Genomic DNA, 14,964 nt, shown 5'->3' with positions numbered 1-14,964 from the left:
CTTCCACCTTTTATTTTACCTTCGTCTTTTCTTTCTTCCGTTAATTTTCCCTTTCTTATTTCTCTTCCTTCCCTAATTGTCATTCTTTTTCTCTGTGGTTCTCTTACCTTTTTCTCCCTTACTTTCCCCTCTGAACTTCCTTTCCTTCTCCCCTCATTGTTTCTACTTTTTCTCTCTTCCACTCTTTTTCTAGGTATTTGTCATTATGTGACTTTCTTACAGAACTGAACTTCATGTGATTTAACTAAAGTTTGTGTGGTTTTTGTTACACTGTTAAATTGTTTGCATGATAAATGCTACTCTAACTGAAACCAAACTTTCTTCAGATACCTAACCTGATGCAAATGGAAAATAACCCTAATTTCATTGATTCTCACCTCACAGATCTAAGCCCCAGATAGAGGAACCCCACCCCACCAAATATTTCTGGAATGTGCAAGGATGCCTCACAAGAATGTTCATAGTAGCACTATTCATGAGAGCCCAAAACTGGAAACGACACAAATATCCACAAACTGTAGGATGAATACATAAGTGGTGGTAAATTCTACAATGGAATGAATACTATACAGCAGGGAGAATGAATGAATGATTGCTATATTGAATAAGATGGATGAATCTCTTGATTATAATGTTGAGTGAAAGAGGACAGACACAAAAGAAAGGGGGAAAAAAGAAATAATCTTTGATTCCATTTCTATGCAATTCAAAAAAAACAGATTTTAAAAGTCAGGACAGTAATTGCCCTTTGGGGCAACCAACTAAGAGGGAGCATGAAGAGTTTATGTGGTGCCGGTGGCATTCTGCTGCTTGATCTGGGCACAGGCCACCCTTGTGTGCTTGTTTTGTGAAAATTCTTCAAGCAGTACACTGTGATTTGTATCCTTTTTTACATATGTTGTGCCAGAATGAAAAGTTTGCTTAAAATAATAATAACCATTGCACAAAATAAACTGGAAATATTTGGATAAGAATCACAAGGTTTAACTGTGATATTTGTGAGTAATGTTGTTTATTGCACTGATAAATCTACACAAAGGAATTATAAACAGAAGTGGTGCTATAAAGAATGCCTCATAATGATGACTGATAAGAGCAATGACAAACTTAGAATGAAGTATTTTTATTATATTTTATTTATTTATTTATAGAAACAGGGTCTTGCTGTGTTGCCCAGGCTGAGACTCTAACTCCTGGGCTCAAGGGACCCTTCCACCTCAGGCTTCCAAGTAGCTGAGACTACAAGGGCATGCACCACTGCTCCTGGCACATTCTTTATTATATTTAATAGTTTTGTTCAGAAAGGACACATCCGAGTAGTTTAAAAGACAACTTTACATTTATTTTTAAATGTGTGCAAATATTTTCAAATGTACATGATTTGATTTTTTAATTTGTTAAAACTCATATACAATACTGGAATCTTATCCTATAGGTTAAAAATATAACAAAAGGCAGCTTTAATTTCAAGTGAAATTTTCATTGATAATACAAAACTAAAATTATGCTTACTATTCACAAAATACATAGAAGAGACAGTATTCCCGCAGTTTGCTGACTTATGTCATCACAAATGAACCCAGAATTTACAAACTCTAGCCTTGTTGTAAAACGTAACTTTGGCATTTCCTTCAAAAAAGTGAGCAGTGCATATTTCCTTTATTGAACAAAGGTATTCATTCATTTTCTGCAAGACTATTACATTCACTCTTTTTTTTTTTTTTTTTTTTTTTTTGAGACGGAGTCTTGCTCTGTCGCCCAGGCTGGAGTGCAGTGGCACGACCTCGGCTCACTGCAAGCTCCGCCTCCCGGGTTCACGCCATTCTCCTGCCTTAGCCTCCCAAATAGCTGGGACTACAGGCGCCCGCCAGCCACCACGCTAGGCTAATTTCTTTTTTTCTATTTTTAGTAGAGACGGGGTTTTACCATGTTAGCCAGGATGGTCTCGATCTCCTGACCTCGTGATCCACCCGCCTCGGCCTCCCAAAGTGCTGGGATTACAGGCATGAGCCACCGCGCCTGGCCTACATTCACTCTTTAGCGAGATGATTTGTTGTCAATATAAGCAAGTAGTGCTGTGAAAATGAGGCAGCATTATAATCCTAGTTATGCTGTAACCAGATTTACAACCAGAATTCAGGATTAACCCATTTGTATGATCATTAATCCTATTCTTTCAGAAATAGACACATTGTTTCTGGTTGTATTTCAGAAGAAAAACAGAGAAGCCATTCTATCTTTAGGCAGGGGTGACTGCAGGACTTGAGTGTGCACAAATTTTGGTAAATGCAGGGGTCCTGAAACCAATCCCTGGAGTATACCAAGGGATGATGTCGTTTTCAATCAAGCAAGACATTCTCAATTGGGGACCTGGGTATAACTTTTCTCTAGAAATGAAGTACAACTTCATTCACTCCAGTGTGAAATATATGGGAAAAGTCCCCAAGATCAAAGCCTGTGTTGTATATAATATCTAGAAAATTGTTGGCACTTAGGAAAAAAATAAATAAAAAGAAAAGATATAAAAACTTTTGGTCAAAAAAACCTGTATTTTTCAGTATGTACATTCCAAATGAATGTTTTTATATTGAGTTCATTTAGAATGCTTTGTCTTTAAAAATTCACTTTAAACACAGACTACTATAGGTAGTTCAATTTTTAGATTTTTTTTTAAGTGGTCAGAGTTCAGTTAAAGATTACTTACTTTACACACTGCTAAAATTTTTGAGAAAAAATATAAACTCATTTTAATCACCATGGTTATGTAAGCACATCAAAAAAATTTTCACTCAGAATAGCACTGTTTTTATGTCAGATTTTACACAGATCATACCTATACATGCCTCCATGCAATGATCATTTCTATAGACTAAGATAATTAAAACTGCATTTTTAAACAAAATAATCTGTCATATATTTTTTTGATCTCAGTTGTGATCATGATTATTATCATATCAAAAAAGATTTTTATAAACCATGAAAATCTCTTTATTATTTCATTTGTCTGCATCAATATTTCAAAATATATTGGCCTGGTTCTGTAGCTTTTAGGTAAACCATTTCCAGGATCAAAGAGATCCTCAATTCCGGCTATATGTAATAACACTTCATTATTAGATACTAAGCAAATTTGCATTTTTAAAACTCCAATTTATTATCCAAAGTATTTTCAAAGGCTTTTATTGATAAATGCATTAATCATTTTATTTCAGCATTTACTAAATGTGACCTTACATGGTGATCAGTGCAGCTCATGGATATCCAGGTCAGTCAAAAACTGATTTTTCTTTATGATTAATCATTCGTGACTCGCTTGACCACAGAGGCTGTTGGGTCAGCACTCACTCTAACTGAACAGAGATATGCCAGGGCCCACGTGAACATTATTAGCAAATCTGTGATGTAGATCAGCAGCGTATTATAACACCAGCTTACCCTGGACGCTGCCAAATCGTCTGAATAATTCTAGCCATTTTGCCCATGTTAGGGATAAGGTGTTTATTTTATAAATAAAGCCTAGAAGCAGTCTTAGTGCTTCTCTTTCAATGGCTTAATAGAAAAAAGAATGAGTGTTTTGAGTCTGAAGAAATAGTCAATGCATTGAGGAAGTTTTGTCTTGTATTCCTTGCTCATAGAGACCTCCCGAACCCACTTTCAGGATGCAAGTGTACGCATAGCCTGTGGAAGCAAGGGGAAAACAAAGTGTTGATACAACTGAATTCTCCTTAAGTCTGCATTATCTTTTTTATAAATATGTTTTTATAGTATTGATTGCTTACTGCTACTCATCTTAGGTGTATATCATCACAATAGAAATAGGGTAAAAACTTCATTTCGTATTCATTATACTTTTTTTTTTTTTTGGAGACTGAATCTCACTCACTGTTGCCCAGGCTGGAGTGCTGTGGCGTGATCTCAGCTCACTGCAACCTCTGCCTCCCAGGTTCAAGCAATTCTCCTGCCTCAGCCTCCCGAGTAGCTGGGATTACAGGTGCCTGCCACCACACCCAGCTAATTTTTTTTTTTTTTTTTTTAGTAGAGATGGTCGGGGGGTTACCATGTTAGTCAGGCTGGTCTCAAACTCCTGACCTCAAGTGATCCCCCTGCCTCAGCCTCCCAAAGTGCTGGGATTACAGGCTTGAGTCACTGAGCCTGGCCTGTATTCATCACACTTTAATTGGATTTATTTAAGAGCAATGATTACTATTTATTGAGCACTTACTATGTACAAGGCACTGCTCTTGTTACTTTACATTTATCCTTTAATTTTCACAACTCTGTGGTATTATTACTACTTTACATGAAGATACTAATATGAAGACAGGATAAGTAATTTGCCCTGGGGTGCACAGCCAGTAAGTAGCAGAATGAGGACTAGCACCCAGGTCTGTCTTGTTCTAAAGTCCATGCCCTTGAAACTATTGTGCTATATTGTTTTACCATCTATAGAAACCCTCCCTGAATGATTATTTTACGTGGCAACCAATAAATATCCTATAATATAGCAGTCTTAAGTTTTAATGTTGACATATGAGTTTTTACTCAAACTAAGGCACCCTATATCCATAGAGTCATAAACTACTGGAGCTAAAAGGACTTCTCAGGTCGATAATGACTTTCCTGGGCTCACTAAGCTGGTGGGCCAAGATGCAGGTACTGTGATTTTCACTCTAGCAATGTATTTCCTCCACAGAAATCTCTGCCTGTCATCCTTACTGCCTGATTTCACTATAGGGGGTTGAATGTTTTCTTTGCAACATTTTTTCAAGACCTAGAAAAAGGCAGAGAAGGCAGGCTTATCAGATTTGATTATGACACCAGGTAACGGGTACTGGGGTAGACAATATCCTGGATGTTAGATTCAAAACACAAAACTGGCCAATGTGGTGGCTCATGCCTGTAATCCCAGCAATCTGGGAGGGCAAGGCAGGTGGATTACTTGAGGTCAGGAGTTCAAGACCAGCCTGGACAACATGGCAAAACCCTGTCTCTACTAAGAATACAAAAAAAAAAAATTATCTGGACGTGGTGGCGAGCGCCTGTAATCCCAACTACTTGGGAAGCTGAGGCACACGTGAGAATCTCTTGAACCTGGGAGGGAGGGATTGCAGTGAGCTGAGATTGTACCACTGCACTCCAGTCCAGGTGACAGAGTAAGACTCAGTCACAAATAATAATAATAATAATAATACTAATAATAATACAAAATTATGTCAGTAAACAAGAACCAACAAGATGAAATCCAGCAGAAATAGGTGTAGTTCTGTATTAGGGTCAAAGCTCAATTAAATAAATATAACTAGGGAACTCTACTAGACCATAGCTTGTATGAAAATGCCCCAGTCTTTAGTTGGCCCCTGCTCAATAGAAGCTAAAATTCTGATGTTGCTATTATGAAAGGAAACACATTTTTAAGCTGTAGTAATAGGAATATCTTGATGAGATCAAGGTAGGTCATGGTTGAATAATCTCCATGCTGGCCTGGCCGCATTTAGGGTTTTGTGTCCCCATCGTGACCAGAGAAGCACTGACTGCTTGTTTGTAAGGAATAGAAGGAACTAGAAGAGTCTCAACTGGAAGAGAGTCTGCTGGAGACATGAGAACTATTCTCAAATATTTGAAGGGCTGTTCAGTGGGAAGGTCTGTGTTGCTAAGGAAGGCAGATCTCAGTTCACTAGGTGGTTACTACAGAAAGGCCAAATTGAGTTCTGTAAGCACAAGTAACATTTAGAGACTTCCAACCATGTAACAAACTCCCTTGAGAAGCCGCTAGTGGCCAATGTCTGGAAATGTTCACATAAAAGCTGAATGAACATTCATCAAGGATGGTGTAGGAAGGATTTCTGCATGGGCTAGAATGTTAGACTACTTGATTCTAAGAAATCTTTCAACTTTTTACAATTCTGTGATCTTCCTTCAGTGTTCACCTCTTATCCAGTGGCGAAGCTGCAAAATTTACTCAGATGCTACAAGTTCAGACAAGTTTCCTAGGAATAGTCTGATGTCACAAGAGCATCTGAAATACACAGAATCAGTCTAGGGTGGGGAGAGTGTGTTTTTAAAGCCTTTATCAGTCATATGAAGGAAGGTCATAGGGTTTCTGTTCCTCACATACTATTCCTGAGGCTTATAAAGTTCCTAGCTTAGAAGTTTCCTCTATTCATTTTTTTCCTACCCCATGGCCTTACATCTCTAGAAGAGCAGTATGCAGAGGTGTAGGTATCAAATCAGGAGCAGTGTGTTGGCTCTTGCCAGTTGCTGATCATCCCCAAATGCCTGGGACAAAAGATCCCCAAGTACTTAATGTCTTCAAGGGAGAATTCTTATTTTCTCTTTTTCCCTGCTATGAAGCCATCTTTTCTGCATTTGGGGGAATTATGTTCCCTGACAGTTCTTAATCAGATATATTCACTATTTGTATTACTCTAATTATTCAAAATGTAATTCAAATATTTTCTTCAGAAGAAAATGATCATACCTCATCCTGGACATCAAGTTCTTCTTCCGTCAGCTCTGTTTCTATTAATTCAAGGGTATCTTTACAATCCTGAATGAGAGTGATCTTGAAAAAGAGAACACAGGGTAGAAATAGAATAGCATCAACCCACCTGATGCTCCACTGAAAATGATTTGAAGCTTTCCTGGTGCTTCTCATCTGTCTTTACATACTTCAGAATCCTCTTCAGCTGTATTGTTCTTTTATATTTCCCAACTAAAATTTTTTGTATATCATTTTTTTGCACATTGAAAGGTGAACTGGTATAGTTCTCCATTGTGTAAACTCCTTTTCAGCTCTCTTCCCCAACCTCTTGAGTGTATGCCTCTTAACAAGTCACCCCCTCTGCCTAAATGATTCAGCAGTCAATAGTGCATCTCTCAATGGCTAAGCTAAGAGCACTTAGCACAGCGTTGAGTGTGCAATGAATGCACAGTGAAGAGCTTGTCACTGATGACAAAAAACAGCCACAAATGGAATTGGGTGGAAATTAATTCTATTGGAGATGGAAACCAATGTCTATGGACCAAGTTGGTTATTCAGAAAAGCTCTACTGTTTAGAGGTGGCATGTAATTTAATCTTCTACACAGAGGAAACCAACGACAATTTTGGCTTTGTGTTTTGCATGGAAAAGGACATTTTCAAAGCAACTCCAAATATATATCCAGGCTAAAATAACATTTTGAAATGCTACTTAGCTACTTTTCAACTCACAAATAGCCCAATTCTCTTAGCTAGTATGAGAATGAATTAGAGGGTTAAGTCCCTGTGCAAATGGTATGACATAATGGGAAAGGTAGAGGATAAGTCTAACTACAAGTTGTGTCCTGAGATAGTCCTGTGATGGTAAAATAAAGGGATAGGAAGAAGGTTGTGTCATTGCAGTCACAATATCTTTGATACAGAGGGACTCCCTCTTGAAGGAGTTTATCATCATTCACCTACTTATCACATATAAAGCTTTGTGCTAGACTCTGAGAAGACACAGAAATATAAGCCTCTTGATCTCACAGGCCACCAGGAATGTCCAACCCACTTTTAGTGGACCAGTAAGTATGTAATACAAGCATTCCGTTATGCTTAGTCTATTTGTTTAAGGTCCAAAAAAATCCATCCCAGCCACTCACAATACCTCTCTGATTGCAAACAAGAGTGAGTCTAACCTAGTAGATACACTCTTGGTTAGTGGTTTTTATGACATTCATAGCCTAAAATCTTAGTAAGAATGGGTATAAACAAATAAAATAACTGCTTTCATGTTGAGAAAGAACTTGATACCTTGGTTCTGTTTTACTTTTAATGTGGATCTCTTAAAGGATACTTCATATGATCCAACTTTCTTATCACCTATGGGTTAGAGAATTTTAAGTTGGATAGAAAAAGTTTATGAATTTTCAATGATAAACAGTTTTTTTTTCTTTAGATTTGTAGCTTTACTCTTTTTTTTTTTTCCTTTTTTATATTTAAGATCCACAGCTTGGTAGTTAGGACTAGTATTTTACCAAGGAACATCAAATAGAACAATCTCTCCACTACCAGTGCCTAAAAAGAATAATATAATATCATTTCCTAAGTTAGTTTTCTTCAATCAACTGCCAATCTACAATAAGGATCTACTTATTCTACTTTTAGAAAAATGGGAAGCAATTTAAAATATCCACGATGTCACTGGAATCATTACTGTTATTATATCTTGATAGGTATTTGCTTTAGTTTCCTAAATTCACTATGAGAAATGAGATTCTTGTACCACCAGGAGCACCATTAGGCCAAGCCCAATGAACCAGACCAGAATGCTCACCTCTTCTGGGTATTTGACAGAAAAATTAACAAAATAATACCCATGGGAAATCAGGGCCTATTCTGGAGCCAGATGCGCTACTGTTGTGCCATGAGGCCTCCCATCAGGGCCTATTCTATTTTGTAGGGAAAAATTAACCCTGGGCTTCTTTGTGGCTTGATTTTTAAATTTCTTTTTCAAAGATCACTTATGGCCTGGTGGATCCTGTTTAAAGACATTTATAATTCAAGGTTTTCCAGATTGCTGAGAATTTAAGTGGAATTTATGTACACAAATCCCAGATCACAAAAGATCCAAGATTCAATATTCTTAAAAGGCATTATAGCTAATGCCCACTTTTATTAATAAACCTACACATTGTAGAACTATTCAGTACTGGGTACTACCAGGTAATTTCCTATAAACTATCTTATTTAGTCTTCATATCTACCTAGCAAGGTTAATGTTTTTACTTCCATTTTACTGATGAAAAAACTGAGGCTCCATGAAGTTATATAGGTAGCTTAAAATTCAACAGCTAGACTAGACTTGTGTAATGTTTGCCATTTATAGAAATCATGATAGTTTAGAAAAGATACATCTGTAGAAAGGTTGAATATTTACCGTTTCTAAAATGGAACCTTGACCCTCTTGAGATTTCACTTGGTTCTGTAGATAGAGTATAGCATCATGGACCGTCAAAAAGAATGTGTCCTTTCTAATGTTGTCGTCAAAGAACCCGCATTGCTCCAGCTTTTCTATCACATAATCTTCAAAAGAAAGACACAATGTTTTGTTAGTTCCTAGGAAAAGAAATTTTTGTTTGTTTTTGAGACAGAGTCTCATTCTATTGCCCAGGCTGGAGTGCAGTGGCATCATTGCTCACTGCAACCTCCGCGTCCCAAGTTCAAGTGATCCCCCCACCTCACCCTCCCAATTAGCTAGGACTACAGGGCACACCCTACCATGCCCAGCTAAGAAAAGAAATTTTAAAGCATCAACCTATACTAAGTTTTTGTAGCTCCTCCTTTTATTTATTTATTTTTCTCTTATCCAAAATGTGACCCAGATTTGAAATGACAGTTTCTTTTCCAGTAGTATATAGAATGGTTATCCCATAACTGGTCGTAGTCAACCTTGTGGACGATCACGTCCCTTTGGCCAAGCCAGTGTATCCATCCTCCTGCTGCTGTGGGCCAGGCTGCCAATGTTTCACAGCTGTGCCCTTCTCTGGAGACTTTCCCTTGCCCGTTGGGAGCTGTGTCATCTAAAGAGGACTGGGTCTGTAATTCCAGCACTTTGAGAGGCCGAGGAGGGCAGATCACTTTGAACCCAGAACTTCTGGGCAATATGGTGAAACCCCATCTTTATAAAAAAATACAAAAATTAGCCAGGTGTGGTTGTGCACCTATAGTCTCAGCTACTCAGGAGGCTGAGATGGGAGGATCACTTGAGCCCAGGAGTTTGAGGCTGCAGTGAGCCACAGTTGCACCACTGCACTCCAGCCTGGGTGACAGAGCAAGACCCTGTCTCAAATAAATAAGTAAATAAAGAGAACTGGGAGGTTTCATCCCCACACATGGCTGGCCTGCAGCCACTGACTGACTCATTACTGGGGGAGAAAGCAGGTCCTCTTGCCTCAAGGAGGCATAACCTTCTGGTACTCTTCCTGTGGTGGTGCTCCCTGTGAAATCAGGGATCTACGCTGGACTTCAGAAACCATGTCTTTGATCAGCTTCTTCCCCTTCCCTATCCTGCTCCCCTCACTGCTTCATAAATTTCCTCAGATGTATTCTCAATAAATCGCTTGTGCAAGAATCCCCATCTTGGGCTCTGCTGCTAAAGAATTCAACCTAAGCCTTAGCACTTTCCTACACACATACATTCATAAAGAAACACACAGAGACTCACACCCTTGAGAGTCCTCCTGTTCTAAGGAATCTAAGTAATCTCCAGCTTTGCTCTCCTCATAACAACATCCCCCCATTGTCAATATTCACCCCACCCCCACCCACTGTCAAGATACACATTTCCATACATTACCAGCTCTGTGGCACAAATTGGAAGTAATATCTTTCTGGGTTCAAAATGTTCTCAGAGTTTTTATGCTTTTTGTTTTTTAAAAAAAAAATAATAGAGACGGGGTCTCACCATGTTGCTCAGGCTGGTCTCAAACTCCTGGCCTGAAGTGATCCTCTGACCTTTGCCTCCCAAAGTGCTGGGATTACAGATGTGAGCCGCCATGACCGGCCTATTTATTTATTTAAAACTTAACTCTAGCTTGGCAATCAGAGGTTATTTAAAGGTTGTTTCTAAATATGGACTTATGAAGGAAATCAAAACAAGGCAGGAAGGAACCACTAGGTAGGAAAGATGTGAGAAGAAATTTACAAGTATGAAGAGATAAAGAAAATTGAAAAGAGAGTAATTTTTTCTTTTGTATAGGAGATAACCTTATATGGTCAAAATGATAAGGAGAAAAGAAAAGTAAATCTTTGTCCTAAGGTACAATGCCAATTTTAAAAAAGGAAGTATAGGACCAAATGAAGGTTTAAGCAAGTTGTAGAAGGTTTGTAGAAGATAAATATCATGAAAAATTTTATGTGATTGAGTTGGCTAAAAGTAGAAGGGAATTATTTATAAGTTTTTCTAAAAATTGAGCATTAATATTAAAGTACACTGATGGAAGGCTAAAGTGTGGGCCTATGTGTTGGAACAATAGAGTTTTCTCAGAGGATTGGTTTACTCTTAATAGAAAATTGTGAGAGGATTTTCTCTTCCAGGTAACTGGCCTAGAAAACAGAGATTTCATGTTTCATCAATATAACTCTTCTTGTGCTTTTTGCCTTTGAACTCTTTTTTCACTTTGGTTTTATTTCATAGTGACCTATGATCCGATTTTGATCAAATGTTTTAAACCTTTGGTATTTGACAAACTTCTCAAAAATCAAAATTAAGTCTTTTTGACCTTGAACTAACTTTGGGATGTTCCAGAGGACCCTGGAATTTCTTAAAGAATCTGTAAAAGAGAGATGTTAAACCAAATGGCCTTATCTGATAGGTTAAATTATATGGGAAGCACTGTTAAAATAAGAAATGATGTTTAACTTTCTTTGTGCTATATTTTTATAGATATGTTATTAATATGTTCCAAAATTATATAACATTCCTAGAAATGTGATAGGTCTTGGTATAAATGCTACCAGTCATAATTTTGGTTATTTTAAATTGTTGTGTGCCACAGAAATATCCAAATATCCTTGTCAATTGGGTAACTCACATCAGATCTTTAAATATAGCCACTTTAAGTCTTGTTGTCCACAGTTAATTGTTTTGTTCTGATACTTTTTCTGAAAGCTCTTTGTAAGCCATTATAATTCTAAAGTGCTGTGACTTCAAAGAGTTATATGGGAAGAATGAAAAGAACTCTGACAAATACAGGTTTCTAATAACTTTGAATTCATACCATTCGTTGGAATTAAACTACCAGCCAAGATCAAACAGAGCAAGAATTAATTACATGAGACTGAATGAACTGATGGAGAAGAATTACAGGTTTTATGGCTTTTTTATTTGAAACATTGCTGGTTCTTTTAATATTTGTTTTCCAGATCTAAAGAAAATTTTTCTTTAAAGCTATCTGCAGTTTACAGCCACTTGGTTAAGCATACTTTTTTTTTATTTTTTGAGACAGGGTCTCACTCTGTCACCCAGGTTGGAGTGCAGTGGCACCATCTGGGCTCACTGCTACCTCCACTTCCCCAGCTCAAGTGATTCTCAGCCTCAGGCTCCATGCCCAGCTAATTTTTTGTATTTTTTGTAGTAACGGCGTTTTGCCATGTTGCCAGGCTGGTCTCAAACTCTGAGCTCAAAGCAATTGTCCGCCTTGGCTTCCCAAAGTGCTGGGATTACAGATGTGAGCCACCGCACCCAGCCTTGTTAAGCATACTTTCATAAACAAAAATTGAAACATTTGCTTTTCCTCTCTACCTGATCCTTCCAGAATTTGGAAACTCTTTGTGAGTATTCTTATTTTTATGGCAATATGATTATTTACATGAAAGTTCAATAGAATCTGTTCTTTTAAATAGAATACAATTGGAAAACATTGGTTATATTATCAAGGCTTTGAATAGAATATCATATTTGAAAATGTGCACAGAATTCCTGGCTTCAAGGGCTGCTAGCCTTACAATGAGTGAATAAAAAGTCGTTCCTTCCTGGGAGGCCCAGTAACTTCAAGATATTAGATACATCAGGCAAAGCCTAATGTCTGCCTTGGTTTGACTTCATAGCATCAAGACGTTTTAAAAAGTCCAATCTGAGATTCCTTGTCAAAATTTCTATCAAAGCAATTATTTTTTGGAGACATGGTCTCACTGTGTTGTCCAGGCTATAGTGCAGTGGCTATTCACAGGCACAATCATAGTGCACTGCAGCCTTGAATTCCTGGGCTCAAGCAATCCTCTCACCTCAGCCTCCCAAGTAGCTGGGCTCACAGGCAAGCAATACCTCGCCAGGCTTGGCAAAGCAAATTTGAAAGGAGTCACCTATGTAGTTATTCTTGCTGTACTGTGTAAATAATCAATCAGGCCAAGTTTGAGACCAAACTTATTTTGTAAACAAATTGGTCTACCATGATCGTCTTTGATAGAAATGGAGGTGACTATAGAAAGAAAAACATATGGTTCAAAAGAAAAGCATAGTAAAACTGTTCTTAGACTGTAGCCCTGTTCAATATTTATGAGTTTTTATTATCTACCTGTAGACTGAGCTGGATTCTTAATTCTTTTAGCTTTCACTAATATCTGGCTACAACACTCCAATGAAGACCAAGAACTACTCAGTTCCTGAAGCTCTGTAAGCTGAAGCTGAGCAACTCAGTGTAAATTTCAAGAGATGAATCTCATGCTTAAACTGTGGGCCACATAGAGAGTTCGCCAGAATGCTGGATGCCACAACTAGAGACAATAAAACTACAAACCAAAACAAGAAGTTGTCAACTTCATGCTGTAGACAGCTCCAAGACTGTCAGAACAAGACTCCCTATCATAAGATGCTTATCCCTTTTAATTTTCCCTTACTTGTGCCTACCTCTTTCACTTGGCAGGATAGTGCTGTAGTTAAAACTTCACAATGAGTAGCTTCTTTGGGTAACTTACACTTTCTGCTTTAATTTAACCAGTCATGGAATGCTAGATTACCTGCTAACTCAACAAGGAAGCATCTGTGCAGTTGGGTGACACTTCTTGTTCCACATATATAAATACATCAGGTACTACAGAGAAGACTTCTTGGTTAAAACAGGTAGTCTCCTTGTCAGGCTATTCAATTTTAGTTGGTTTGATTCATGAGAATCCTGGCTAAGGAGCATACTATAAACCCTTGGTATTATCTCCCTGATAGTCATAATAGCAGTCTTCCTGGTACATTATACCCTCTCAAAGTTTTAAATGTTTCCAAAAAGCCACCTGTCAGACATCGAATGGTCTCTCTCTGAAACAACAAAAACTCAGAGACATACATGATAATGAGGAGGGCACCATAAGCTACACATGACCTCCTGAGACCAGAAACCCAAAATGATGGTAACAGAGTAGCACTGATCTCCTACATTTTGTTCACTCTTACCTAGGTGAGAGCCTGATCAAAACGGGGAAAATCATCAAACAAAAATGGTAAAGGCCATTGTTTTAGTCTTCTTGAGCTTTGCCCTCCCAGAGCTTTGCAGCTTTTAGTAGCCAGAACGAAGGAGTAGAGCAGCCTTCGGTGGCTCAGGGGCCAAGCAGCTGTGCCCATCCTGGGGTCATGCAAGGCACAGGCACATAGTAAAATAAAAAATAAAAATAAAAGGCCATTGTTTTAGACTAAGCTCCCGCACTAGACGACAACAGACAAGACTAAAAATCAAAATGGAGTCACTCATGCTAAAGTTTCAAGTTATCAAACCTAAACTAAATTGTTATCTGATACTTGAAGAAATCAGGAGAGAGAGGTAATAGCAAATTTCCTAAAACAGGACAGTTTAAATTTCCAGTTGGCATAATAATAAAGCTTCCTCTGCAATAATCCTCATACAAAAAAGTATCCTGACATGACCTCATGTTAACTAATCCATTATTTTCCTATTGTTCTGTCTCACTGTCTCTGACTTACAAGAAAGTAACTTTGAATGGACTAATATACTCTTTGTTGCTTGCTTTTGCTGTCTTTGGCCTTTTCTGTGTATAATACTGAACTCCTGCTTAGTTCCTTGGAACACTTATTCTGTTTTATGGAATGAAGCAGTGCCAGATTCCAGAACTGCAAATAATGACAATTGAGATCTTTAAAAGAAAAAAAAAAAAGGCCTTCAGACATAATGTGACCACAGTCCCAGATAGGAGAAAGGGCTTACGGGAAAGTCTTACAGGTAGATATGTAGATATATGTATTTACCTTGAAGTGATGCAAAATACACATTCACATCAATTCTTTGGAATTCTTTGACAATCTAAAAATAAAAAAGGAGAGTTTGTAACAATTAACAACCTTATCTGCCCATAATTCAGTAGCATTCAGTTACTTGCTCAGGAGAAACATTATTACTTTCATGGTTAATCAGGACTTTAAGGAAAGGTTATTATTGCAAAACCATGGAGGTTTTCAAACTACAGTAATGGTATAATTAGGATTATATCTCAAGAG

At 37.8% G+C, this 14,964-nt stretch overlaps 1 protein-coding gene across 1 annotated transcript in view, besides 1 other annotated feature; it reads right to left on the bottom strand.

Moving 5' to 3' along the window:
• The window catches only part of SLC26A4 (solute carrier family 26 member 4), a 56,982-nt gene continuing 43,309 nt past the window's right edge, over window positions 1,292-14,964 (bottom strand). Inside the window, exons 18-21 of the mRNA NM_000441.2 lie at window positions 14,716-14,770; window positions 8,902-9,047; window positions 6,479-6,562; window positions 1,292-3,678 (exon numbers count right to left, since the gene is read on the bottom strand). Coding sequence (NP_000432.1) covers window positions 3,655-3,678; window positions 6,479-6,562; window positions 8,902-9,047; window positions 14,716-14,770 — 309 coding nt within the window. The 3' untranslated portion in view covers window positions 1,292-3,654. The remainder of the gene's footprint in view (window positions 3,679-6,478; window positions 6,563-8,901; window positions 9,048-14,715; window positions 14,771-14,964) is intronic.
• Window positions 8,943-9,237: a silencer, noted in NCBI's record as "tiled region #3291; HepG2 Repressive DNase matched - State 9:DNaseU". NCBI's record gives its function as "represses a minimal TATA promoter and a strong SV40 promoter by Sharpr-MPRA in HepG2 cells {active_cell/tissue: HepG2}" and the evidence as "EXISTENCE:reporter gene assay evidence [ECO:0000049][PMID:27701403]".

The sequence above is a fragment of the Homo sapiens genome, chromosome 7 (assembly GCF_000001405.40).
Source record: "Homo sapiens chromosome 7, GRCh38.p14 Primary Assembly".
NCBI lineage: Eukaryota > Metazoa > Chordata > Mammalia > Primates > Hominidae > Homo > Homo sapiens.
This window is presented reverse-complemented; position numbering and strand designations above follow the sequence as displayed.